Source organism: Homo sapiens, chromosome 7 (genome assembly GCF_000001405.40).
Source record: "Homo sapiens chromosome 7, GRCh38.p14 Primary Assembly".
In the NCBI taxonomy this organism is placed as follows: Eukaryota; Metazoa; Chordata; class Mammalia; order Primates; family Hominidae; genus Homo; species Homo sapiens.
In genome coordinates, this window is record NC_000007.14 from 1836728 (window position 1) to 1859721 (window position 22994).

General features: G+C 60.5%; 1 protein-coding gene, 1 long non-coding RNA gene and 1 other non-coding gene across 8 annotated transcripts in view, besides 5 other annotated features; 1 reads left to right on the top strand and 2 right to left on the bottom strand.

The window, feature by feature from the left end:
* Nucleotides 1–22994, bottom strand: part of MAD1L1 (mitotic arrest deficient 1 like 1) — a 417151-nt gene that overhangs the window by 20933 nt on the left and 373224 nt on the right. The gene's annotated exons all lie outside the window — the stretch shown is intronic.
* Nucleotides 1914–2819: an enhancer, noted in NCBI's record as "H3K4me1 hESC enhancer chr7:1878277-1879182 (GRCh37/hg19 assembly coordinates)". NCBI's record gives its function as "activates a minimal SCP1, AML or CMV promoter by ChIP-STARR-seq in naive H9 embryonic stem cells {active_cell/tissue: H9 hESC(naive)}" and the evidence as "EXISTENCE:reporter gene assay evidence [ECO:0000049][PMID:30033119]".
* LOC100127955 (uncharacterized) lies at nt 1940–11055 on the top strand. The gene is made up of 2 exons (XR_108730.5): nt 1940–2141; nt 10521–11055. It is a non-coding gene; the product is annotated as an uncharacterized LOC100127955 (long non-coding RNA).
* MIR4655 (microRNA 4655) lies at nt 7453–7526 on the bottom strand. The gene has a single exon (NR_039799.1). It is a non-coding gene; the product is annotated as a microRNA 4655 (primary transcript).
* Nucleotides 11086–11795: an enhancer, noted in NCBI's record as "H3K4me1 hESC enhancer chr7:1887449-1888158 (GRCh37/hg19 assembly coordinates)". NCBI's record gives its function as "activates a minimal SCP1, AML or CMV promoter by ChIP-STARR-seq in primed H9 embryonic stem cells {active_cell/tissue: H9 hESC(primed)}" and the evidence as "EXISTENCE:reporter gene assay evidence [ECO:0000049][PMID:30033119]".
* Nucleotides 19980–20787: an enhancer, noted in NCBI's record as "H3K27ac-H3K4me1 hESC enhancer chr7:1896343-1897150 (GRCh37/hg19 assembly coordinates)". NCBI's record gives its function as "activates a minimal SCP1, AML or CMV promoter by ChIP-STARR-seq in primed H9 embryonic stem cells {active_cell/tissue: H9 hESC(primed)}" and the evidence as "EXISTENCE:reporter gene assay evidence [ECO:0000049][PMID:30033119]".
* Nucleotides 20788–21595: an enhancer, noted in NCBI's record as "H3K4me1 hESC enhancer chr7:1897151-1897958 (GRCh37/hg19 assembly coordinates)". NCBI's record gives its function as "activates a minimal SCP1, AML or CMV promoter by ChIP-STARR-seq in naive H9 embryonic stem cells {active_cell/tissue: H9 hESC(naive)}" and the evidence as "EXISTENCE:reporter gene assay evidence [ECO:0000049][PMID:30033119]".
* Nucleotides 21596–22402: an enhancer, noted in NCBI's record as "H3K4me1 hESC enhancer chr7:1897959-1898765 (GRCh37/hg19 assembly coordinates)". NCBI's record gives its function as "activates a minimal SCP1, AML or CMV promoter by ChIP-STARR-seq in naive H9 embryonic stem cells {active_cell/tissue: H9 hESC(naive)}" and the evidence as "EXISTENCE:reporter gene assay evidence [ECO:0000049][PMID:30033119]".

Below are 22994 nucleotides of genomic sequence, written 5' to 3' on the forward strand. Positions count from 1 at the left end.
ATCTTGATGCTGGAGTAACTGGACGTTCATATGCAATAAAAAATGAAAAAGAGTCAATCCAGACCTTGCACCATATAAAAAAAAACTCAAAATGGATCATGAACACAAATGTAAAATTTAGAACTATAAAACTTCTAGAAGAAAAAAAAATGGAGGCAGTCTTTGTGACCTTGGGTTAGGTAAAGATTTCTTAGATACGACAGCAAAAGCACACTCCATAAAATAAAAGACGGGTAAGTTAGACTTAATCAAAATTAGAAATGTCTGCTCTTCAAAAGACATTGTTAAGAGAATGAAAAGACATGTCATATATAAGGAGAGAACACCAGCAATGTACATATTTGATGAAGGATTTGCATCTGGAGTATACAAAGAACTCTCAAAACTCATTAAGGAAACATAGAACCCCATAAATAATTAGCAGAAGATGTGAACAGGCACTTCAGCGAAGACCAGCAAGATGGCACAGGGACAGATGCTCAGTGTCATTCGTCATGAGGAAAATGCAAATTAAAACCGCAATGAGACGCCGTCAGTCACCTCTTAGAAGGACTGAAATTAAAAAGACTGATCATGTCAAGTACTGGTGACCGTGTGCAGAAACTACAAGTCTCCTATACTGCTGATAGGAATGGAAAATGGTGCAGGCACTTTGGAAAACAGCTTGGCAACTTCTTGTAAAGTTAGGCGTACACTGACCACACAATCAAGCAGTTCCGATTTAGCCAAGAGAAAAGAAATAAATGTCCGTGCAAAGCTTGCATGTGAATGTTCACTGTACACTTTATTTGCAACAGCCCCAAGCTGGAAGCCACCGGAATGCCCGTCAACATCTGGATGGATGAAGACATTGTGGTCTATCCGTATGACTGTAAAGGGATAAACTGTTGATACCATAGCAACACGGATAAATCTCAAACTAACTACGCTTAGTAGAAGCAGCCAGATGAGAAAGGCTAGATACTGCGTGATGCCACTTACAGAAACTCTGGAAAACGTGGATGAACCCGTGGTGACAGGAAACACAGAAGGATCAGTGGCTGCCTGGGGTCGGGTTGCAGTGGGAGGGGCAAGGCAGGCTGCACAGGGCCTGGGATCTGGGGGCGAAGGGTCTTGCCTTGATGGCCTCACGGGTGCGTGTATACAGATGGTAGCTCATCAATAACGCAGACTCAGCAAACAGGGAAGCCCTGGCAGGAGGAGGTGGTGGCATCGGGGGCAGGTCCAGCTGTCACAGGCCAGCCTGGTGAAACACGGCAGCGTGCTGCTTCTCCAGACAAAACTGCTCCCTCTTGGGTGTCTAGAGGTGATTCCCGCGTAGCTCTGCCTGGACTGGGAAACATATTCCTAACCCCGTGCAGGGGCTGCAGTCCCTCTACCCGAAACCCACGCCAACACCCACTTCACATTTTGCATTTGAATCTCAGGAGGTTCACGGACCCTCTAACCCAGCGGCACCCGCAGCCCCTGGGATGGAAAAGCATCATAAAAGCAGACAGTGGCGCGTGCTGGGGAGGACGGGGAGAAGCTGGGAGAACAGGCAGCTCCTTACAAAGCTCAAAGTTAAATTACCATGTGACCCTGGCACTTCCGCTTATGGGTGTACACCCAAGAGAAACAAAAATGCATTTCCACACACAAGCTTGTACACGAATGTTCACAGCAGCACTGTGTGTAATAGCCCCAAACGGAAGCAATTCAAATGTTCTATCAACGGATGAACGGATAAACAACCATGGTCTATCCACACACTAGACCGTATGATTCATCAGTAACAAATGGAGCGTCAGCACGTGGTCCAATGTGAGCGAACCGTGAAAACCTTACGCTCAGCGAAAGATGCCAGATGCCAGAGACCACTCGCCGCTGAGCCCATCTCCCTGCAACACTGCAGGTAGCGGAGTCTAGAGACAACACAGACAGCGGCTGCCGACGGCTGGGACTGGGAGAGGATGGCTATGGGGCACGTTTCCTTCCAGGGTGATAAAGGCATTCATTCCAAGATAGACTGTGATGATGGCTGCACGCTCTGTAGATGACATCTCAATCAAGCTGCTTCATGAGAAAGGCCCAGCCACTGACCACGGGGTGAACGTCCTGCCATCCACAGTCCCTGGCCGAGAAGAAGGTATGACTGACAGGTAAGACTACCTAAGGTTCCAGGCACACCCTGGGGCGGGGAGGAGGCTGGGGACAAGGACAGAGTGTGCAAAGACACGCCGGGCTCTGGGAGGTCAGCAGAGAGTCTGGACCCCAGATTTGAGGCAGCCAGGAACTGCCTGCCAGTCCCAGCTCATATGGCCTGAGCTTGGCCAACCGCGGCGGGTCCCACTCGCAGATGGCCAGCTGCCTCCGTGCCCTGGGGCAGGGATGTCCTGTTCCTGCTCTTTAGAGCAACAGGGAGGCCCTCCCTAACAGACTCCTCAGTCATTTAGGTTGGGGGCAAAAGGGGCTGGCCGCAGCTTCGTGTAGGTGGAGCAGGGCTTGGTGGGAGGGCGGGGCTAGGTGGGCTTGCCCGGGGTCGAGGTGGTGGTCACCGTCTAGTCCCCACCCAGGACAGACACTCGGGGTCCCAGGGAGGGCTCTGCCTCCTGCCTGGCAGGAAAGCGTCCTGCCCCCTGCCTGGCAGGAAAGCGTCCTGCCCCCTGCCTGGCAGGAAAGCATCCTGCCCACCCGGTGCCATGGCCTGGGGAGTGCTTGGCTCTCAGGCCAGCTGCCCGCAGGACAAGCTGGGCCTGGGGCGGGGAACCAGCCTGTTCGCTTCCGAGTGGGGCTGACAAACCCCCAGCCTCTTCACAAAGGCTCCAAAAACAGAATGTCGTGGAGAACTGGACGCAGATCCACAGGGCCATAGAGAGCATTTCCGGCTTAGTCAAAGGAGTAACTTTCTAACAGTTTAAACGCGCGAGATGGGATGTGCAGGCTTGGGAGGCAGTGGACCAGATAAAACCATTGGCCAGAAGATACAGAAGGGCTCTAGGCTGCCCAGGCCCTTCAGTTAGAACATCCCCCCCGCCTCCCCCCGGCTCCCAGGGCAATGTCAGAGACCATCTGGATGGAGGATGGGGCTGGTCCTGGCTTCTCACAGCTTGGGAGGTGGGGCAGCTGGGCACCAGGTCAGCAAGCCACAGGTCCACCCACGGCCAGGGCCCAGGCTCCCCGCCTCCCCCCATAACCACCTAGGCATGGAGCACAGACCCTGCCTGGCCATCGGCCCCCCAATCCCTGCTGGAAGACGTGCCCAGGCGGAGCAGGACCCCCGCATTACTGCTGCGCATCCAGCACCTGCAGCGGGGCCCAGCACGGCGGGCATTCCACATGGGCGAGGGCCAGACGAGTGAGCCACACCCCACCCTTTCCTCAACCATCCCCCATGAGGACGACATCAGAGTCATCCCCCAAGCCCAGGTCTGACACTCTCTTTCCCCAACTTTGGCCTGGAGCCCGAGGCCTACCCCTCTGCTCTCCCTGCACGCTGGATGCCCTGGAGCCGGTGAGCGTGAGCAAGTGAGATCCTGAGGCCAGAAACATCTCCCCAACCCAGCCAGACAAACTCTAATTCACCCGTGAGCCCCAGCTCCAGGCCACCTCCTCCAGGCAGCCTTCCTTGACTGCAGTGCGCCCCGGGGTATCTGGGAGACGCCTCTGCACAGTCTTTGAATCGGGCTGTACAAGTATCTGTCCTAGCAGCAGCAGAGCCGCGTCATAAACAGTAAAACAAGCCAGGCGTGGTGGCTCACACCTGTAATCCCAGCACTTTGGGAGGCCAAGGCAGATGGATCACCTGAGCTCAGGAGTTCCAGACCAGCCTGGCCAACATGGCAAAACCCCGTCTCTACTAAAAATACAAAAAAAGCCAGGCATGGTGGCGGGCGCCTGTAATCCCAGCTACTCGGGAGGCTGAGGCAGGAGAATCGCTTGAGCCCGGGAGGCAGAGGTTGCAGTGAGCCAAGATCGCGCCACTGCACTCCAGCCTGGGCAACAGAATGAGACTCCATCTGACAACAAAACAAAACAATAAAACAGCAACAGCAGTTCAGGGCTCCTGCAGTTCAAGGTTTTAGCGGCCTGGGCATGCGGTTTCTCTGCCTACTTGGACCTGAGCAGCCTCCCTCTGCCCAATGTCACTGCACACTCCCTGCATGCCCCAGCCCTGACTCGGGTGAGTGGACCGTGCAGACGGCGAGAGGCCACGCAGGCCAAGCCAGGATAGAGCAAACCCTGGCGGGGCCAGGTGGTCCCCGTGCGTTTGCAGCCTGGATGTGATGCCCAAATCTCTGGGCCAGGCACAGCTCTCCACTGCCGGCGGCTGGTGGGATTAGATGTGACCAAGGCCGCTCCCGGGCCGGCTCTACTCTGTGGGGGGCAGGTGCGGCTCTGGGGGTCCTGTTGGGCCTGAGCACGTCCCGATAACCTGGCTGCTGCCCACTGCCCAAGCGCCAGAGCACACGGCCACCAATGAGAGCTGTGCTTCCCTGGTCCTGGGTTAAAAATATCCCCGTAAGTGACAAGACTTTGAGAATTTCGTCTCTCCAGTCACTCACATGGGGGGCGAGGACAGCTCTTGGCTCCGCGTCTCGCCCGGCTGCATCTGATGCCTCCCTGGGCTGAAGCTGCATCTCATGAAACAGACGAGAAGTCATTCACAGCCCGACAGCACAGGCACAGAAATTTGCTGTTTTATACCAAGTTGAGCGGCCTGTCATCTAGAAGCTTCTGTCCTGACCTCCTCAGCAAAGAGGAAGTCACGGAACCGGCTGCTGAGCCTCCTGACCTCGGCCTGGCCTCTCCTGGCAGCTGTGGGCCCCAGGATGAAAGCGGGCACCACGTCACTCACGAGACAGAAGCTGTCGTTCTCAGAGCCTCCCAGGTGAGTGGCCGGGCGCCTGCCTGAAGCTGGACGAGCCCACAGTGGCTGAGGCCGGTGGGGACCCAAGGGGCCAGTCCGGCCTTCCCGGACCACCAAGGAAGGTGGGCGCTGCTTCCCTCGCGGGGCAGATGGTCTCGGCCGTCACTCTGCTGTCCCCGTCCTGGCTGTGAGCTCAGCCTCAGTGTCCCCACCTGTGAAATGGGGAGACCCCCAATCCTTCTGGGCGGGTGCCTCGCTTCTGCCCTCGCATGAGTCTCCCCTTCCTGAGCTGGGATTCCATCTCTGCTGGGAATGAGGTGCTCCCTGGCTGAGAACCCGGTAGCCAGGCACAATCACGCCGTCACCACCCCAGCCCTCAGCCAGACCCTGCCTGCTCGCCGCGCTCGGCCGCCATCTTCCTGTGGACGCCACTTACCCTCCGGCGTCACCATCCGCTGCAAATTGCCTTGTTTTTCGTCTTTGGCAGGGCTGAAAATTTGATCATGAAAGGGAATTTTCTTTTTTTTTCTTAATTAGTACTTGGTAATATCACCAAGCTGTGAGTTTATGGCTTTGTAGATCTTGTGTGTTTGACACTAACTACTCACAAAGGCTTTTAAAGCTGCATTTCAACTCTGCAACTACCATGCCGGTAATTAAGCCAGAGGAAGCGGCGACAGATTTCACTTTTCACAGACACCCTTCCCACCTGTGCTCCCGCTCCGTGTGGCCGCAGCCCCCGTGGCCCTGTGGAAACCCAGCAGCTCCCTGCGGCTCCGGCCCTGGAGGCCTGAGGTGGCCTTGCCTCCAGGAGCCCGGCCTCAGCCGTCACAGCCGGGCTTGGCCCTGCACTTAGGATCCAAAGGGCAACTCTTGGCAGCTGGAAAGGTTCTCCCAGTCCACAGGCCGCCAGAATCCCTTCCGGCGCATGCCTGCCTGAGCTGCCACAATGCCGCGTGCTCACTGGCCCCCCAGGCCTGTCCCAGGCGAGCTGAGTAACTGCAGCCACCTGAGCCCCGGCGAGGGACAGACAGCTATGCTTCTTCAGGTCCCCGAGGGAGGCCTTCGTCCTTCGTCCATCGCTGGGCCCATCATTTACTGAGTAGCTACTGCCTGCAGCTGCAGAGGCCTCCACCTCCCACTCCTCACCTGGGCCCCTGCAAGGCAGCCGAGGCCCAGGGCACGGTCAGGCTGTGTCCTGGAGGGGAGGGTGGGCAGGGCCTCTGAGTGCTGCACAGCTGCGTCCCACATGTCAGCCCCTCGCCCAGCTGGCCCTCCCTGTGGCTCAGCACACGGGCTGCCTTGCGGCTGGTTCCCGGATGGGGAGGGTACACTGCCTGGAGCTCAGGGGCTGGCTGGGGTGAGTCCGAGGCCGGGCTCCAGCACAGCCTTCAAGTGAGGCCCACAGTGGGGCTGCTGGTACTGAAATGGCATCCTGGCTTCCCAGTAGCACATTCCTTGAGTGTGTCAGTCCCTCTGGGGACCATCTGGAGGACGGGGGCTAGAGAGCAGCCCTGGTCATTCTCCACCAAGACCACACATGAGGCCCCGATGGCACAGTGCCGGGATCCTGTGTAATTAGGGTCTGGGTGCCCTCGTTGCCCTACTCCTCTGAAAGCGAGCCAGGTTCACCTTGAACCCTGCAGAATGATGCTCTTTCTGGCGTCTTTCTCTGTCTTCCTGGGCCTTACAGGTTCTTCGGCAGTAAATCAACTAAACGGTAACACTCTTCCCTCCATCTTCCACATTCAGGCAAAGCTGGCCCCGGGGAGCTCCTGCGCAGACGTCCCTCACGGCCAGGGAGGCCGCAATGAAGGCTGAACCTGGGGAAGGGGCCCAGGTGCGGTGTAGACCTCCTCTGTCATCCAGCCCCTCCTGAGGGGGCTTGATGGGCGTCCACAAGTGGGCAGCTTTTCCGCGCTTCCCCGTGTCTGACTGTGCTGAGGGCCTCCTGAAGTGCAATTGGTTAGTCACGGTTTAGTGTTCTTTACTGCAATGCTATTTTAAGATGCAATTAAAACGTCTCATTGCCAAAGTGCGTGCTTCCTCCTGGGGGCCTCCTTCCTAACACGAAGGAGTCAGAAACCAAGGCCGGGAGGAGACCTGAGCTGAAGACTCACTTCTGGAGTGGGCACACTTTGTCCCAGCTCCGTCTTCCTGGAGCACCCAGGAGAGCCCGCTGCAAGAAGAAGCCCCACGGCAGGCCACGTGGAGGCGAATTCACCTCCTACCCAGACAGCGTGGGCAATGCTGAAACGAGCGTGAGCTCCGAATGATTTTAGTGAGGTTCAAACCTCCCCTCGGCTGTCAGCCTCTGAATCTCTTCCACTTCAGCCACGGCCACTCCATGGCTAGGGGCGGGGAGGGGACACTCAGAAGTTTGGTTTCTTCTGAGGGGCCTGAGCACACACTCAGGATGTGAGTGGGGCCGGGAAGGGCAGCAAGTGGAGCCTATGCAGGAACACTTGTGCAAGGCTGCACGGTTTCACTACCACCAGAAGGCAACTAAAAATCCCCACAACTCCAGGTGTGTCCTGGCTGGTGTCACGGAGCCTCACACACGGCTGAACCGCTTAACTCACATCCAGCCACAGAACGGCCTGCCAGGGGCTCCCCGGGGACCTGACGAGGGTCAACACTTTCCCACGACCCTCTGCCATCCCCGGTGTGCCCTTGGGGAGAAGTGTGGTGGTCCCACAGGCCCCCCTGCCAAAACCTCATGCTTGAGGAAGCACTCCCAGTGGACAGGGAGCCCCAGCTGCTGCTGCTGGACAGGTAGGGGCCCAGGGGCACAAGGGGCCACCTCCAGGCTGGGGGGAGACCTGGGGAGAGACGCCGGTTGGGTGCTCCACTGCAGACCCTGACACGCGAGGTGTGGGACATGGACGGCATTCGAGGTCCCACCCCGCTGAAGGAGCTTGACACGGAGCCCTGCAGGGGGCAGAGGCGGCCCAGGGAGAGGCGCAGGCAGGGGACGCAGCTTGGGACGGGCCTACAGCTGGCCCAGGAAGGTGCTCCCCGAGGCTGCCACGTGCCCAGCACCTCCCCTTGGTGACCATCCCCCCAAAGCTGGGGGGAGTCCAGGGCCCAGCACTCCTTTCTCCAGGCTTCCCCCAGGACATCCTGCTGTGGCTTGGCACAGGCCGGGCACTGACAGAGGGGACCCGTCTGGTTGCATCCGATCCTTCGATGCTCCTGCAGGGGTGGAGGGGCGCGTGGGTACAGTCAGCAGGGCTGTGGCCGTACCGTGCAAGCCACTCCAGCACCTGAGCGTGTCCTCCTCTGCGAGTGGGACAGGAAAGCCTGCCTCGCACAGCTGCTGCCAGGACGGAGACAGTATGCTGCTGGTCAGTGAGTGGGCACAGCCAGGGTCACTGTCCCGCCATCAGAAGGAGGACAGGGGTGCGGGGAGGAGGGGCCTGAGCCCGAGGCTCCTGGACTCACAGTGGGCACAGGGTCTGTGCAGCCAAGGCCCCACCTGGCGGGCGCGGGAGGCAGGCCCTGACTGCAGCGGGGAGAGCAGAGCGAAGGGGTCTCCTCTTCCCTCCTAGCAATGCTGTGTGGCTGATACGCTGACCAGCTACTTGACACCTGGCACAGCCTGCTGGGCTCAGGGTGGGGAGACGCATGATTCCTATCTTGTCTGTAGCTTTCCTGAGGCTGACGCAGGGCCCAGCGCTCCGGAGGGAGACTTGATCACACACAGGCAGTGCACAGAATGTCAATGTGGGAGAGGCCGGCGGCTCTGACCTTGGTGTGTTACAGCCCTTGCCACCTCCCTCCGCTGCCCTGCATGGGGACTCAAACCACAAACAGCAGCTCGGAAACAAGCAGACACGCGTCGGACTCTGGTTCACGGGGAAGAGCGCTGTTTAGGAGATGGACGTGCTCCACGCAGAGACGCGTCGGGCTCTGATTCATGGGGAAGAGCTCTGTTTAGGAGATGGACGTGCTCCACGCAGACACGCGTCCGGCTCTGGTTCACGGGGAAGAGCGCTGTTTAGGAGACGGACGTGCTCCACGCAGACATGCGTCCGGCTCTGGTTCACGGGGAAGAGCGCTGTTTAGGAGACGGACGTGCTCCACGCAGACACGCGTCCCGCTCTGGTTCACGGGGAAGAGCGCTGTTTAGGAGATGGACACGCTCCACGCAGACACGCGTCGGGTTCCGGCTCACGGGGAGGAGCGCGCTGTTTAGGAGATGGACACGCTCCACACCACCTCTGGCGTCCTCTCTGCCCTCAGGCTCTTGGGCATTCAGAGCCAGGAGCTGTTTCTGGGGAGGCAGAGATCCCTCCAAGCCCCAGGAAAGGCCTCCTGCTGCCTCGGGGACAAAGCTGTGTCAGGCTCTTCTCTCCACGCTCCCCAAGGGAGGGGAGGTGCTCAGAAACAGACCAAGAGACTCAGTTGGTGCCAGGATGGTGCCCGTGACCAGGGAGATGTGCACATGCGTTCAGCGTCACTGGGGAAGGGACAGCCACACAGGCAGTCTCAGGCTGTAGCTGAAACCCCAGGCATTTCCCTAAAGCACCAGCGTCCAGAACTGAAGAAGGGACCAGCCCCATCCGGCCCCAGACCACAGTGGGGAACCTTCCAGGGCCAGTCTCCCCCTGCTGCCCTTCCCGCAGGGCCAGGGGCTGGTCAGCAGCACAGGCCGCCCCCGGCGCTGCAGTCCTGGACGTCCATGGCTGACAGCTCCTGGGCCTGGAACACTGCCCTTTCCTCCAGCTCTGCAAAGACACTTGAGGTTCCAGCCAGGACACGGGACATAAAGGGGGTCAGCCCTCACGGACAGTGTTTCCATAGAGGGTTCAGGAGGTTTATAAACACCAGCAGGATGGATGACACCACAGCCACCACAGGAGCCAGCATCCAAGAGACCCCGTGAGATGCCAAGGGTCACTCGTGCCCGAGGTGCCCTCCGGAACCGGAGACTACAGATACCAGGGGATGCTTGGGCCAAGTGTGTCCAGCCACGAAGGTTACTGCCCGGCCCTGGGAGGTCACTGGGACCAGGAGCTGCCCCCACAAGGAATGGGCGGAAGGAAAGGGTGACCGAGTGCCCGGCCCCGTGCCCGTGGCTCAGGAAGACATGCTGTGTTTGCATTTCTGTTGTTCCCAGAGCGAGGGGATGAGAAGCCTGAGGCCGGCCCGTCCCTGCTCCAGACGCCCCCCCACCGCTCCCCCTCATAGGAGCCAAGGAGGAGGAAGTGCTTCATTCTTTGCAAAGAATACTCCGCCTGATGCAATTTGCGTGTGCAAGATGTGTGAAGTGCCTTTTCCATTTCATCAGCACCCGCAGCCTGTATGAAGCTGCTGTTTGCTCTCTGCCAGCTCGTGGGGCTTGAATGGTATCACGGGAGGTTCTTCATCTTGCGGTGGGACGGTCGCCTCCTGCTGATGGCTCCGCGTTTTCATTGACCACATTCATTACAAAGAGACATTTCAAAACATGTTCTGCAGCTGATTTGCTCCTTGGCCCCAAGAATGGAATACAGATAATCTGCTCACATCCATCAGGTATCTTTCTGTGATTTCATTTTGGAAATGATGTTTTAAAGGCCTCTGACTTTCCCGTCTGTCCTGGGAACAAGGAGTTCCTCCCTGGTCCAGGGTGTTTGTTTGAAGGCCACACATCTTTTCCAACTGACGCTTGTCCTTTTCTGTTTAGGAAGCACTGGTTTTCTTTCGGGACACAACCGAACGTGCCAGGACTGCAGGAGCCGCTGGATTACAGAGCAGCAAACCAGGCATGGCAGGCGGTGCTCGCGGAGGTACCACGGGGCGGACCAGGGTGTGCAGCGTTACGTGACTTGGGAAGATGTGGGGGGCCCGATGTATCTACCAGGAGACAGTGGAGACCTCTACCCTTTAGCTGTCCTCTGTCCCACACAACCCAGCCCCCACTGGGCGGCCACTGCAGGGGAAGCTCAGCTGGAAGGTTCCATGGGAGAGACCAGACCAGTCCTGGCACTGTCCAGCAGCTGCCTTCGGCCCATGTTCTGAAACCGGGATGCACACAGCATGGAGATCTCAGCCCTGGGCAGGCCTCGCCCCCTCCAGCAGCTGCCCTCGGCCCATCTCCCAAAGCCTGGACGCATACACTGGGGAGACCTCAGCTCTGGGCAGGCCTGGGTTCCCATCGCTTCGGCGTCCCTGGGCCCGGGACACGGAACACACTTGCTGCGTGCTGTGTACAAGAATGAACGAATCGGCCTGCCTAGCACCCCTTGGCCGGCTCCAGGCCTCCACTTGCTGTGTCAAGTGAGGCTCCCACGTGCTGAGGGGACAGAGGGTCCCTGTGACCTGCAATGCTCCCACTCTCACCCACGCAGCTGCTCACCTACACAGCCGGTTTCTCCAGGGCTAACAGGCCACCCAGATGCAAGCCAGTCTCAGCCCCTGACCACACTGGTTTTCAAATGAACTGTGGACTCTCATGACAGAGAAGCGGCTGGGAGTCCCAGCGTGGGATGTGGTGGGACGGGGCTGGGGTGTGCAGAGACGATGATGGAGGAGCTCCTGGGGGCACACAGACCTAGTGTCGCTCTCAGGGCTGGGTCCGCAGGCCACTCTCCCTCCCTCAACAACACTCACGCCTGCTGCAGCCCCAGGAAGGGTCAGGACTCACAGATGCCAACAAGCAAGCAGCCCGTGCTGGAAGCATCACCACCACCGGCCCCAGCAAAGGCTTCCTGGTGTGTGCGGCTGACCATCGGCCACTCGGGTAGACAGAAGTGTGGGTGGGCTGTGTGCATGCCAGGGCAGACGGACAGCCCGGGGTCTCAGGCCAATGGAAACAGGAAGTTTCCGGCTCCATTTGAATACTGGTGGAAATGCCGGGCCCTCATGCTGAATAGGACACTCCATCCAAGCTTGCCGCCTCCTCGGAGGCTTGGGCCAGTCACCGGGCCCGGCTGTGCTTTCACAGCTGCTTTTCTTATGGGAGAGCAAGATCTCCTGGGATTCAAGACCCTACCAGGAGTAGAAGACAAGGGTCATGGGAAGGCTGTGTGAGCCCTCAAGGGGCACCATGGACCCCGAGCACCAGCGATTTGCGCTCCTGGTTCCGAGAGCCCAGCGCTGAATCCTGGCAGATGGGGAAGCTGAGCTCTGTCTGACCTGCTCTGGAAAACAACTGGTCCAGAGAAGGACGAAGATGTCACTTAATTCTGAGTTGCTGAGGATAAGCCAGGGGCCCTGGAGGTGACTGTGCTGCCCACAGCATCCCAAGGGATGCCACATCCCCACAGGGGCAGCCCAGGTCCCCCAGAGGATTGTGTGCCCCCCACCACCAAGGTCCTTGCCCACTGGTCTGTGCCTCAATAGGACAGCCTCCTTCTCACACTATTTTGAAATATAAAAATAACACTCATCACCCATCACCCAGTCACTCAGAATCACACCAGCGGGGGCACAGAGGCGACGGCATGTAGTTCTCCAGCCTGTTTGTGAGCACGGGTGTACATGTACACACACACACACACACACACACACAAATGCACATGCACGGACACATGCACACACACATACACGTGCACACACAGACATGCACACACACGTACACACATGCACACACACACACGTACGCACATGCGGGGTCAGGGAGCTGATGCTGTGCGAGGCTGTCGAGGGCTTCTTCACTCAGCGGCACTTGGGAAGCGCTGCTCTGTGGGAGGCCCCTCATCCATGTCCTCGTTATTGGCAGCACAAATCTCCAAGTGAGGAGGGGCCATGTTTACCAGCCGTCCTTCCAGCCCACGTCTCCTACGGTTCCTTATTTTCACAGGTACTGTTTTGCAGACACAGAGCCCCCAAGCAGCCCACACGTCTTAGCCGGGTGAAGCTTTGCTTTATGAAGTGCTGCCTGGACCCCTGATGGTCGGCCCTCCCCGTCGAGACAGTGGCAGGCAGGCGGGGGTGCTCAGGGCTGTCTGCAGGGGGCAGCCAGGACCTCACTGAGGTGGCCGACTGGGTCCACGCCCTCCTCAGCCTGCACTGCTGGACAGGCCCCAAGAAGTCGTGCTCGGCGTGGCCCAAGAACGGGAAGCGGCAGCGTCCTGGCGTCCTAGGTGAGACTTCAAGACGGCTCCCTGCTCCCACCTGGGCTAAAGGTGGAACCCCAGGTGTAAAGAGCCCCCTGGGGTACAGGGGAGGCTGGATCAGCAGACGCCGGCTCTGGGAGGGCCCTGAGGGGCTGTGGAGGGAAGGTGACCCCGCAGTGGCAGCGGCAGCGGAAGCAGGACGGCGCGGTGCCCGACACCTGAGGCCACTCTCCCTGGACGGGGGGCGGGCGGCACTGAGAGGCGGCCATAAAAACCGGAGTTTATTTAATAAAACAAGAGCCCACGCGGCAGCAGTTGCCTCCAAGATGAATGACAAGCGCTGGAAGGGCGGCCACCTTCCTCCAAGGAAGAAACAGCCCCGCTTTGATTAGGAAAATATTGGTTAATTTTCCAGTGGAGTGAGTGACCTTAAGGGGAAAAATCTAATTTCCGGAACAGCTCTGTGAGGCGTTTGTTCTCACCACTCTCGTTCGCCTTAATCTGAGTGGTTGTGGGTGAGCGGCGGCCGGGGCAGCGGCTTCCCCTGGACCTGGTGTTCGGTCCTGAACCCCTGGGCAGGCCTCCCCTTCTGGGGCAACAGGACGGAACCGACAGGCGCCCAGTCAGGTCCCGAGGGCCCCTCTGGACCCACGCCTCCAGGCAGCTCCCATCGCTAGACATCCTTTCCCACAAGAGTTCTATCTTACGAGGCGCCCACCCTGCCTCCTAGGAACTCACCCCCTGCCACCTCTGGAGCCACCCAGCTGCCTGGGCCCAGCTCAGCCCCCTGGTACCATGAACAGAAGCTGCTGCTTTACACTGGCTGTGGGGCCCAGGCTTCCTCTAGTGGGTCCAGGTGGGGGTACCCCAAGTTCCTGCAGGGCTCCAGACGGTGGGTCAGGGCCTGGGCAGATGATCTCACTGCCCCGAGCCTGTGCTTGACTCCGGGGAGCTGCACAGGTGACTCGGCAGAGCCGGCCTGGGCCGGAGAAGGCACGGGGCTGGACCCAGGTCCGGGGACCCCCAAAGCCATGGTTGCCCAAGTTCGCAGAGGGGAACAGGCACCCCAGGGCACAGGGCTAGCCCTGTGATCAGGCACCGCACTATCCACCCCTGCATACTGGCCCTGCCCAGCCACTGGTGACAGCAGTGATTGCGACAACAGCAAACACATGTTCACTGCAGGCCAGACCGTGCACAGAGCAGCCTCAGAACTAGGAGCTCCTCCCCTCCTGGGATGGGGAGTGGGGAGGGCACACCGAAACCTGCCTGACCCCGTGTGGGACCCCCATAGGAAGCAGCTTCCGGGCATCAGAGAGCAGGAAGAGACACGAGAAGGGCCTGGCGTCGCGTCCGTGGGTCGAGGACCACAAATGTGTTGCCCTAAGCTTCTGTGACCCTGCGTCCACCGTGGCAGCCCGGCTGGAGCCAACAAGGTGGCAGGGAGGGCAGGAAGTAAGCCCACAGGCCACAAGCGTCTGTGCCAGAATCTATAGGCACTCATGTGGCCCTCCCAGCCCAACTGCTGACTGATGGCGGCAACCCTGTGGGGTGACCCATGCCCAGACCAGAGCGGGCGGCAGGAGCCCGGCCTCGGCCGGCACAGGGTGGAAGGTGGGGGTGACCCACGCCCAGACCAGAGCCGGCAGCAAGAGCTTGGCCTCGGCCGGCACAGGGTTGGGGGCTGATGGCTGAGCCCATGGAGAAGGTGGGGGAGGGTGTCTGCACGTTCGTCCTGGAGATGGGACTCGAGGTCACGGGAAACCCCGACAGGGAGGCCGTGCTGGGACAGCTCAGACCTCGAACGTGCCATCCTCGTGGATGAGAGGCGTCCCCAGCAGTGCCCAGGAAGCCCCTGATGAACTGTGCGTCACCCCAGTGACCAGGGCCAGAGGAATCTGCTCGGGGCCCCGGGACAGCACGGCTAGTCTGAAAACTCGAGGAATGCACGATTCCTGGAAAGTCACCAATCACCAACCAAAACGGTCCCAAGAAGAAGAAAACTAGAATGGAACAGTTAGTGAAGGCGTGGCGAGGAAGACGGCAGGAGGTCCACACAGGGGAAGGTGCTGGGGACACAGCCTTCAGTGCCGGCGACCTCTGCTTTCTCAGGAACAGGCACTTACAGTGTCGCGAAACCTGTTCAGCATCCCAGGCAGGCGCAGAAGGGCCTAACTGATCTGTGACGCCTGCCTGCCAAAGGCCAGGCCTCCTAGGTGCTGCCCAGGGAGCTAGAGTCGCCTGCCTGCCAACAGCTGGTTCGCCTGGCTGCTGCCCGGGAGCTGGAGTGGCAGAAACAATGGGTGGGACCAATGGTGGGAAGAGCTCGGGGAGGCAGGGCCCGGCACGGGTGGGCGGACAGTGTCAGCGGCAACGAGAGGGGCTGGGAACCTTCACTGGTGCCCACGTTGGGGGCAGATGTCACAAGATTGTTCTGGAATCTGTTGGCCTGGGGAGGGGCCCTCCTGAGGCCCGAGACCCAGGGCAGGACCCAGACTTGGGGCAGAGCGGGTCGGGGAGAAGCCCCAGGGAAGAAAGTGCTTCCTGTGGGGACACAGGTTGGGATGGACGTGACCCAGCACTGGGCGAGGATCCTGCTGACCTGGCGAGAGGCACCGTTTGGGCAGTTTCTCAGGGATGACGGCAGCTGGGTTCAGGCCCCCACACCTGCAGCGTAGCACTAGGCTGTGGAGCTCACTGGGTTTCCCGGACTGGGAGGACCTGGCTTGGGGCTGGTGTCTCTGCCACCCTTAGACTCAGAGCCCCAGGAGCTACCACTGCCCCTCCAAGGGTCCCCCTCAATGGACCTTGCACTGGGGGGAGTCCAGGCTCAGGATCCCTGAGGCTGAGATGGGGCAATGCCCCGCTCCCTGGGCGGAGAGGCTGGGGCAGCCAGGCTTCCACCCTGGCCCGACCGCCGCCATCTGAGAGGTCCGGGTGACGTTATGTGATTTAAAAGTTAATTAAACTGAGTGGTATGAAGTATAACAGCCCCAGGTGTTTATTTCCAAAGAGACTTTGGAAGGAAAAGGGGAGAAATCTAATAAAAAGCTTTGCGAGATACTGCATTAGGAAGTAATCATACCGCTAAATCACCCGGTGTCGGCACAGGCCTTGTAATGACTCCGGACTTGCTGTTCCCCTGCCTCCTGAGCCCACCCAGCCAAGACGCCCTGCTGGGACCCTCGGGCTGCCCTCTAAGGCCAGGAGAGCCAACAAATGAGACTCTGAGAGCCGCACGTGCTGAGCCTGGAAGGGGCGCCTCCGAGGACGGGCCGCTGTCCCTGGAGCCCATGTCTGCATCATTTATCCGGGCCTTCACGTGCTCCTCTAGCACGCACCAAGCACTGAGCACATGCCAGCTCACAGCGCAGGGCGGCCGAGGCACCCGCAGGACTCAAGGCTCAGGGTCCTGTCCCAGTGTGGAGTGGGAGCTGATAACGACATGCACCAGGAGACTGGAGCCCGGGAGAGCCAGGGAGAGCCCCGAGGAAGTGCATCTGGGCTGAGACCCCAAGGATGTACAGGAGGTGGGGGCCCTGATGCGGAAGGGACTGCGGATGTCATCTCAGTCCACCACCACCTTCTAACAGCAGCGGCACTGCTGACTGTGGGAACTTGCCACCTCACGGGACTGCCCTCTGTGTCGGGACAGGCCTGGCGAGAAGGCCCCACGCGTGTGGAGCTGACACCTGCCTCCCCTGTGGGTGGCACAGCAACAGCAGGTAGCCCGGTCCCTCTGGAAAGAGCGGAGGTGGAGGGGCCTGGCAGGGAGGACGCACACGGCAGCCCTGCCTTCATTCAACAAACACACGCTCAGCCCGGTCAGGCATCAGACGGCAGTGACAGACAGAAGCAGGTGACAGCAGACGCTTAGCACCAGTGTCCTCCTGGGCACAGAGGACCTTATGCCATGCTTCCTTGCCACTGCCATGCCTGACCCCGCTCCAGCCCCCACCCTGCCTGCCTGACCACAGCAGACTGATCACCAGCTCAGAAACACTGTCCCCGCCGCCCTGCACACCCACACGCCTCCCTCTGCACGGGGGCCCCCTGCCTCTCCCAGGCTGAGCTCAGAAGGACACTGCCTCCTTCCTGTCCCACCCTTCCATCCCCGCCCAATGACAGGAGGCAGCTGGGACTCGCCTGCAAGGGGCCCTGCCTCTGCACCCCCTCCCAACCTACGATTTCACTCCGAGCAGCCTGGGTGGCCGAGCAGGGGAGGACCGGGCAGGCCCCACCTGGCCGTCTGACAGGTGGACTCTCGGCCCTGTTATCAGAAAGTCCTGTCAGGAGCCAGCCAGAAAGGCCATCTTTTGGTCATTTATCAGGCTAATAAATGGCTTCTCCTGCTGCCGCCAGCTCCCGGCGCCATTCTCATGCCGTGCACTGGGAGCTTCACGATTAATATCACTCATTGTGAAGGGTAATTACCAGCTCGATCACGGGCGTCGGGTACATTTATCCACCCCATCCAGGCGTGGCGGAGGCCACATCACTCACGGGGCTGCCCAGCCTCTGCCCCTGGGGCACCTCCACCCCCGCCCCAGGCTCTTTACATTCTCTGAGCCCCAACACTGAGCACCCAGGACAGGCCGCACCCACCATGGCCCCGGTGCCTCGGTGTTGGGTACTGAGCCCGCTGGGGCTGGGAGTGGCTGAGACTGCCCCAGCCCCAGCAGCGAGCGGACGTCCTGGGCCCCGGCAGCTCGTCCCCAACCCCCGCTGTGGGGGAACCTACCCTGTGGAAGCCTGTATTGGTCCACTCGGCCGCTGCAGACTAGGTGGCTCGTAAACAGAGTTCACTTCTCACAGGCCTGGAGGCCACAAGGGCAGGGTAAGGCACAGGCAGACTTGGTGTTTGGTGATGGAGCTTTCTCACTGTCTGTCACACGGGGGAAGGGGCGGGGGGACTCTGGGGTCCCCTCTATAAGGATGTTAATCCCATTCACGAGGGCCCCACCCTACCACCTCAGCACCTCCCGAAGACCCCGCCTCCTCATGCCCCTCACAGTGGGGATTCGGTTTCCACGTGGGAACTGCGGGACACAAACCTCGGTCCCCAGCATCCTGCCCCTGTCCCCACAGAACCCACATCCTTCTCCACCCCAGCAGCCCCAACAGTCTCACCAACCATCAACTCCAAAGTCTCCTCTCAACCTCACTGGCGTCACATACGGGGGAGACAAAGGCAGGACAGGAGGGGACGGACGCTCCCATTTCAAAAGGGGGAAAGGCAAGAGGGAGGGTGCCAGGCCCCAGGCAGGCCAAACCCCGAGGGGCAAGTCCCGTGAGGCCCAGAGGCCTGAGAGCTGCCGCTGTGGCTCCATGCTCCACCTCTCGTCCACTGGGGAGGCCCCGCGCCCACCGCTGGCAGAGCTCCTGGCCTGTGGGAGGCACGTGGGCTGCGGTCCCCTCTGAAGAAGGCATCGGCGGCTGGGAGTTTTCCGAACCACCTTCAGGGTCACCCTTCCTCTGCGGTGAAGAGCCGCGCGTGTTTGCCGGCCGACAGCTCTGTGGTCCTGTCATGTCAAGTCCAAGTCGACAGCCTCCCTCATCCTTCCCGTCTCCCTCCTCTTTGGTTCCAGCTGGCGGTGTCTCTGCCGCAGTGGCAGACGGGGCCTGAGGTCACACCCACACGAGCCTCCCTATCAAACGGTTGCGGGCCACACCCTAGGGTTCTCTCCCTAGGGTTGCTCTCGTTTTCTCCAGCAGCGATGACAGCGACAAGCTGAGCATTCCCCAGGTGCTTAAGTTCCGCTTCCTTCTGCTTGATGCCATCCTAGGCCGCCCCTCTGTGCCCGCATCTGACTATAACAGCGGGAGGAAAGGCTGCACCTCAACGCCTGGCCTGGAAAGAGCTGTGGCCAAATCTCCAGTCTCATCCCTCACACACTCACTTTCCAGAAAACACGGCCCGGGCCCAGCCCAGCCCAGCCCAGCTCCACCCGAGGCGGGTCTCCCCTCACCACCACACACACCCACGGCCTCCTCAGAGCGGCCTTGTCCGTGCCCCCTCCTAAGATTCTGGGAGCATTCCTTGTGCAGGAAGATGGGGGCTCCCTCCACAGTGCTCCTCCCTTCCTCCTGAGCCCTCACCAGCATCACCTTTCATGGCCTGTTCTCGGCAACATCTGCTTTTCACAGGCTCCACCCCAACCCTTCCAGCCTCTCCCACTCCCCAGCTCCAGAGAGGCTTTCGGGGTCTGTTACAGCTGCACCCCACTCTTGGTACCAATGCTCTGTCTCTTTGCGTCCAGCTGCTGGAACCCCACAGACAGGGTGGCTTATGAGCAGCAGACATTGGCTGCTCAGGTTCTGGAGTGGAAGTGGGAACTCAAGGCGCCGGCAGACGTGGTGTCTGCTGAGGGGAGGCACTTCCTCGCGGTGCGCTCACGTGGGGTGCGGTGAGGGAGCTCTCGGCTTCTTCATAAAGTGCTAATCCCAGTCCAAGGGCTGCACTTCCTAATCCCTCATCTTGGGCGTTAGAATTTCAACGTATGGATTTTAGAGGGACACAGACCTTCAGCCTGTGGCAAGGCCCCGCGCCCTCCTGCTTCTGACGCCTCTCCACACGTGCCTCTGAATAGGGACATGGCTGGACCGGGGAGGGGTGTGCCTGTGGGGCCAGCAGGTCGGGTTGGGCGCAGGGAGAAATGAAGGGAAGGAACATCTCGCTTCGGTTCTGGCTGAAGACGTGGGGCCACGCTCTGGGCTCAGCCTGTCCCAGGTGCTCGGGGAAGAACCCGCCAGTCCCCACAGGCCAGCCTCTGTGGGGGCCCCCTGCCTCCAGCGGCCCCTGCCGGGGTTGGGGGATGGGAAGGGGGAACCAGCGCGCGGAGCACCGCCCACCCCCACAGCCCCCGCTGGCCAGCTGTCGGCTAATCTGCTGGCTACGAGCAGGTAATTTCTCATTGGGGCCTGCTCGCTCTCTGCTTATCACCCGCGGCCTGTATCCGCTGCGTGCTGTGTGAGCAGAGATAAGATTCATTAATAAAGAAAAGTTCAGGAGGAGCTGCTCGCGGCTCCTCCACAAACCCAGAAGGGAAGATGGCACAGCCCCGAAGATGGCATAGCCCCGCCGCGCTCCAGACCAGTCCCTGCTTCCTGCCAGCGGCAGGGCCCACGCGCACCCCGCGTGCCTCCACGTTCCACACGTAACCCAACCCTGGAACGTGGTCTCGGGCCACAACGGCTGGAGGGACTCCTGCGGGCCTCTCCCAGGCTCTGTCACCCTGGGGGAGGGAGAGGGAGCCTGGACCTCGCTGCCTGTGTGTCCCCAGGGAGGCCTTCAGACCGAGCTGACCATGAGCTGCCACACAGCAGCTCATCCTGTTTCCTGGACCCCCCAGGAAACCCTGACTGTGCTGGACCCTGCTGGTCACGCCTCCTGCCAACCCTCCAGCAGCACTCGGGTGAGGACGAGGAGCTGCGGGGAGCAGACTGGTGGGGCAGGCAGGACAGTGTCAGGGTCTCCCCCTCGGTGCCCGAGGCTCTGGGAACCTCCAGGACTCCTCACCAACAGCAGCCAGAGCCACGGTTTCTTAGGCAAGAGCCGCGAGCGCGGACCGTACTGGCACCTTCCCGAGGATTTCATCAGCAGCCCCACCAGGAGGCACGGCTGTCCCACGTCTCGGGCGAGGGTGGGTGCGATGACTTTCCACAGCCTCTGACTCAGTGCTCAGGGCCCCTGAAACCCGCCTTTGCTGTGCTCGGGGGGCGGCACAAGGTAGGGCTGCCTGCCGGTGTCCTGGTCATGCCCCGGGAGGCAGCCAGCCACAGCCTGGTCCCTTGCTGGCCCCATGACCCACAGTCAGGCCTCTGCTGTCACATAGGCACTCCTCACAGTCCCCCACCCCGCGTGTGCAGCTGAGTTTTCAGACAGAGGAACAGGACGGTCCCCTCGCTGCCATCTTTTGAGTTTCTGCCCTGCTGCGGCTGGGATGAACGGGGCTCAGGTGAGGGGGCTGGGCCCGAGGATGAGCCCCTGGACCAGGGCTGCCTGGGAAAGGACAAGGAAGGGCTGGGCCAGCTGGACAGGAGGAAGAGGGGCCTTGGAGCAAAAAAGAGGACACAGGAGTGTGGGCAAGGCCAGGGCTCACCAGGGGCCGGGGGACGTCCTGGTCCTGCTACATCTGAGGCCTGCCCGGCTAGGCCAGCACGACGCCCCCTCTGAGGCTCTGATGTCCCAGCCAGTCCTTGTCTTTCTCATCCACTCAGTCCAGGAAGGCAGGTGGTGCCTGGGGACCTCCAGGCTGGGGGCCCAGGGAGGCTCTTGTCCACCCCGGCCCTGCAGAACCTGCAGAGGCAGCCCTTCCTCCCGTCCCCAGGGCCGAGTCCCTTGGCTGTGGCCCACGCTGGCAACCGCTGTCCACAGAGCCCGAACTTTCCTCCCTGCCTGTATTAATTATGACGGAGTAAACAACAGAGTTCTGGAAAATGCACGTTTCCATGTGACTGCTTTTTTTTAATTGGTAGGTCTAACATTTAAAAGCTGCTTTAATTTCTTAGGCTTGCTTTTCCTCAGCACGGGCTCAGGCTGAGAGCAGGGAACTCATCACTGGCGCGCCCGTCGGTGGCAGTGTTGGGAGTCTTGGAGCACAGGCAGAGTCCCCTGCTCGCCACAACCAGGAGATAGCGGTGCTGGGATCTGAGTGGGGACATGGGCTGGCCAGTTGCACCCCAAGGCCGGACCCCAACTCCGTTCCTGGCCCACTCTGGGCATGACAGGGGATGAATGGCTTTTGTTTTTGCCTTGGCTCAGCCTCCACCTGGCTTGGAGATCTCTGAAATCCTTGGTTTCTGAGGCCTCCCTTCCACCCAGGGGCTCTGCGTGTGAGAGGGTGGCGTCCACGGCGTCTCCGGCTCCCATGTGGTGCCCCCACCTCTGCACACCTGAGGGACAGGCGTCCTGGGGTCAGCCCTGAAACTCATTCAGGTCTTGCTGACCCTGTCCCGGCACCAGGACGCCCGCGGTGCCTCCTCCTACCTGGCGGGGCTGCTAGGGTCAGACCCACGCCACAGTGCAGGGCAGACTGGGATAGTGAGAACATGCGCAGGGCACATGGTGGCGAGGACGCATGGGCTACACAGACACGAGGCCCACAGGAAAGCCACAGAGGCCACAGACTAGGCCACCATGGGGTCCCAGGGCAAGGGGCCCCCAGCTGGAAAGTAGGCCCAGCAGGAATGCTTCACGAGCACGGGCAGTCAGAGCCTCTGCCCCTCCTGGCTTCAGGGACAGGGCCTGACCACCTCTGGGAGATCCCAGGTCAGGGCAGGGGGCCCAGGTCATGACTTGCAACCCACCTGGACCACCACGCCTTTCCACTGAGGCTCTGAAAGGCCACCCAGACACAGCTCAGATCTGGGGGGCGTCCCCCGACTCGGCCTGCATGGGAGAGGTGGAGGGATGGAGCAGACCTCCACACCAAACCCCATACGCAGGAGGGCCAGGCACCTGAGAGAGGCCTGCAGAGACGGAGCAGACCTCCACACACAACCCCACACGCAGGAGGGCCAGATGCCTGAGAGAGGCAGTGGGAGATGGCGCCGGGCTTCCCCAGCCTGCCTCCCCCTGGTGTGAAGGAAGAGCCACTTCCCAGAACGCTCAGGCAGACAGCTGGGTGCGCAGCAGCTGTGATGATCAGAACCCTGACCAGGCCACAGTGGCAACGACAGCCTCCTGGGGCTGCAGGTTCACCAGGCGTCTCCATATCGGCCCTTCCAGCTTGCATCTCCCCGTTGATTCCAACTCATTCTGCACAGGGAAGGATCAGGGCAGAGCCACAGGGATATGTGTTTCGGCTACCGTGCAAAGGGCTTTGAAAAGTCAGTGCTGCCCACAGGTGGGGCAGGTGGCTGCGAGGCGGAGCGCATCCCACCTGGAAGCCCCACAAGTGGGATCTGAGTGGCCCCAGGTGCCAGGACTTTATGTTTTTCTCTGGGGACCTTATGGCACCCATGATGGGGACCTTGCCAGCAAGGAGTGGATGCCAGTGGCAGCCCTGCAGAGGAGGGAGGAGACAGGCCCCAGGCACAGCCCCAGCCCCTCAGCTGGTGCTCTCCGTAGACCTGACACCCTGCAGGGCTCCCTCTGT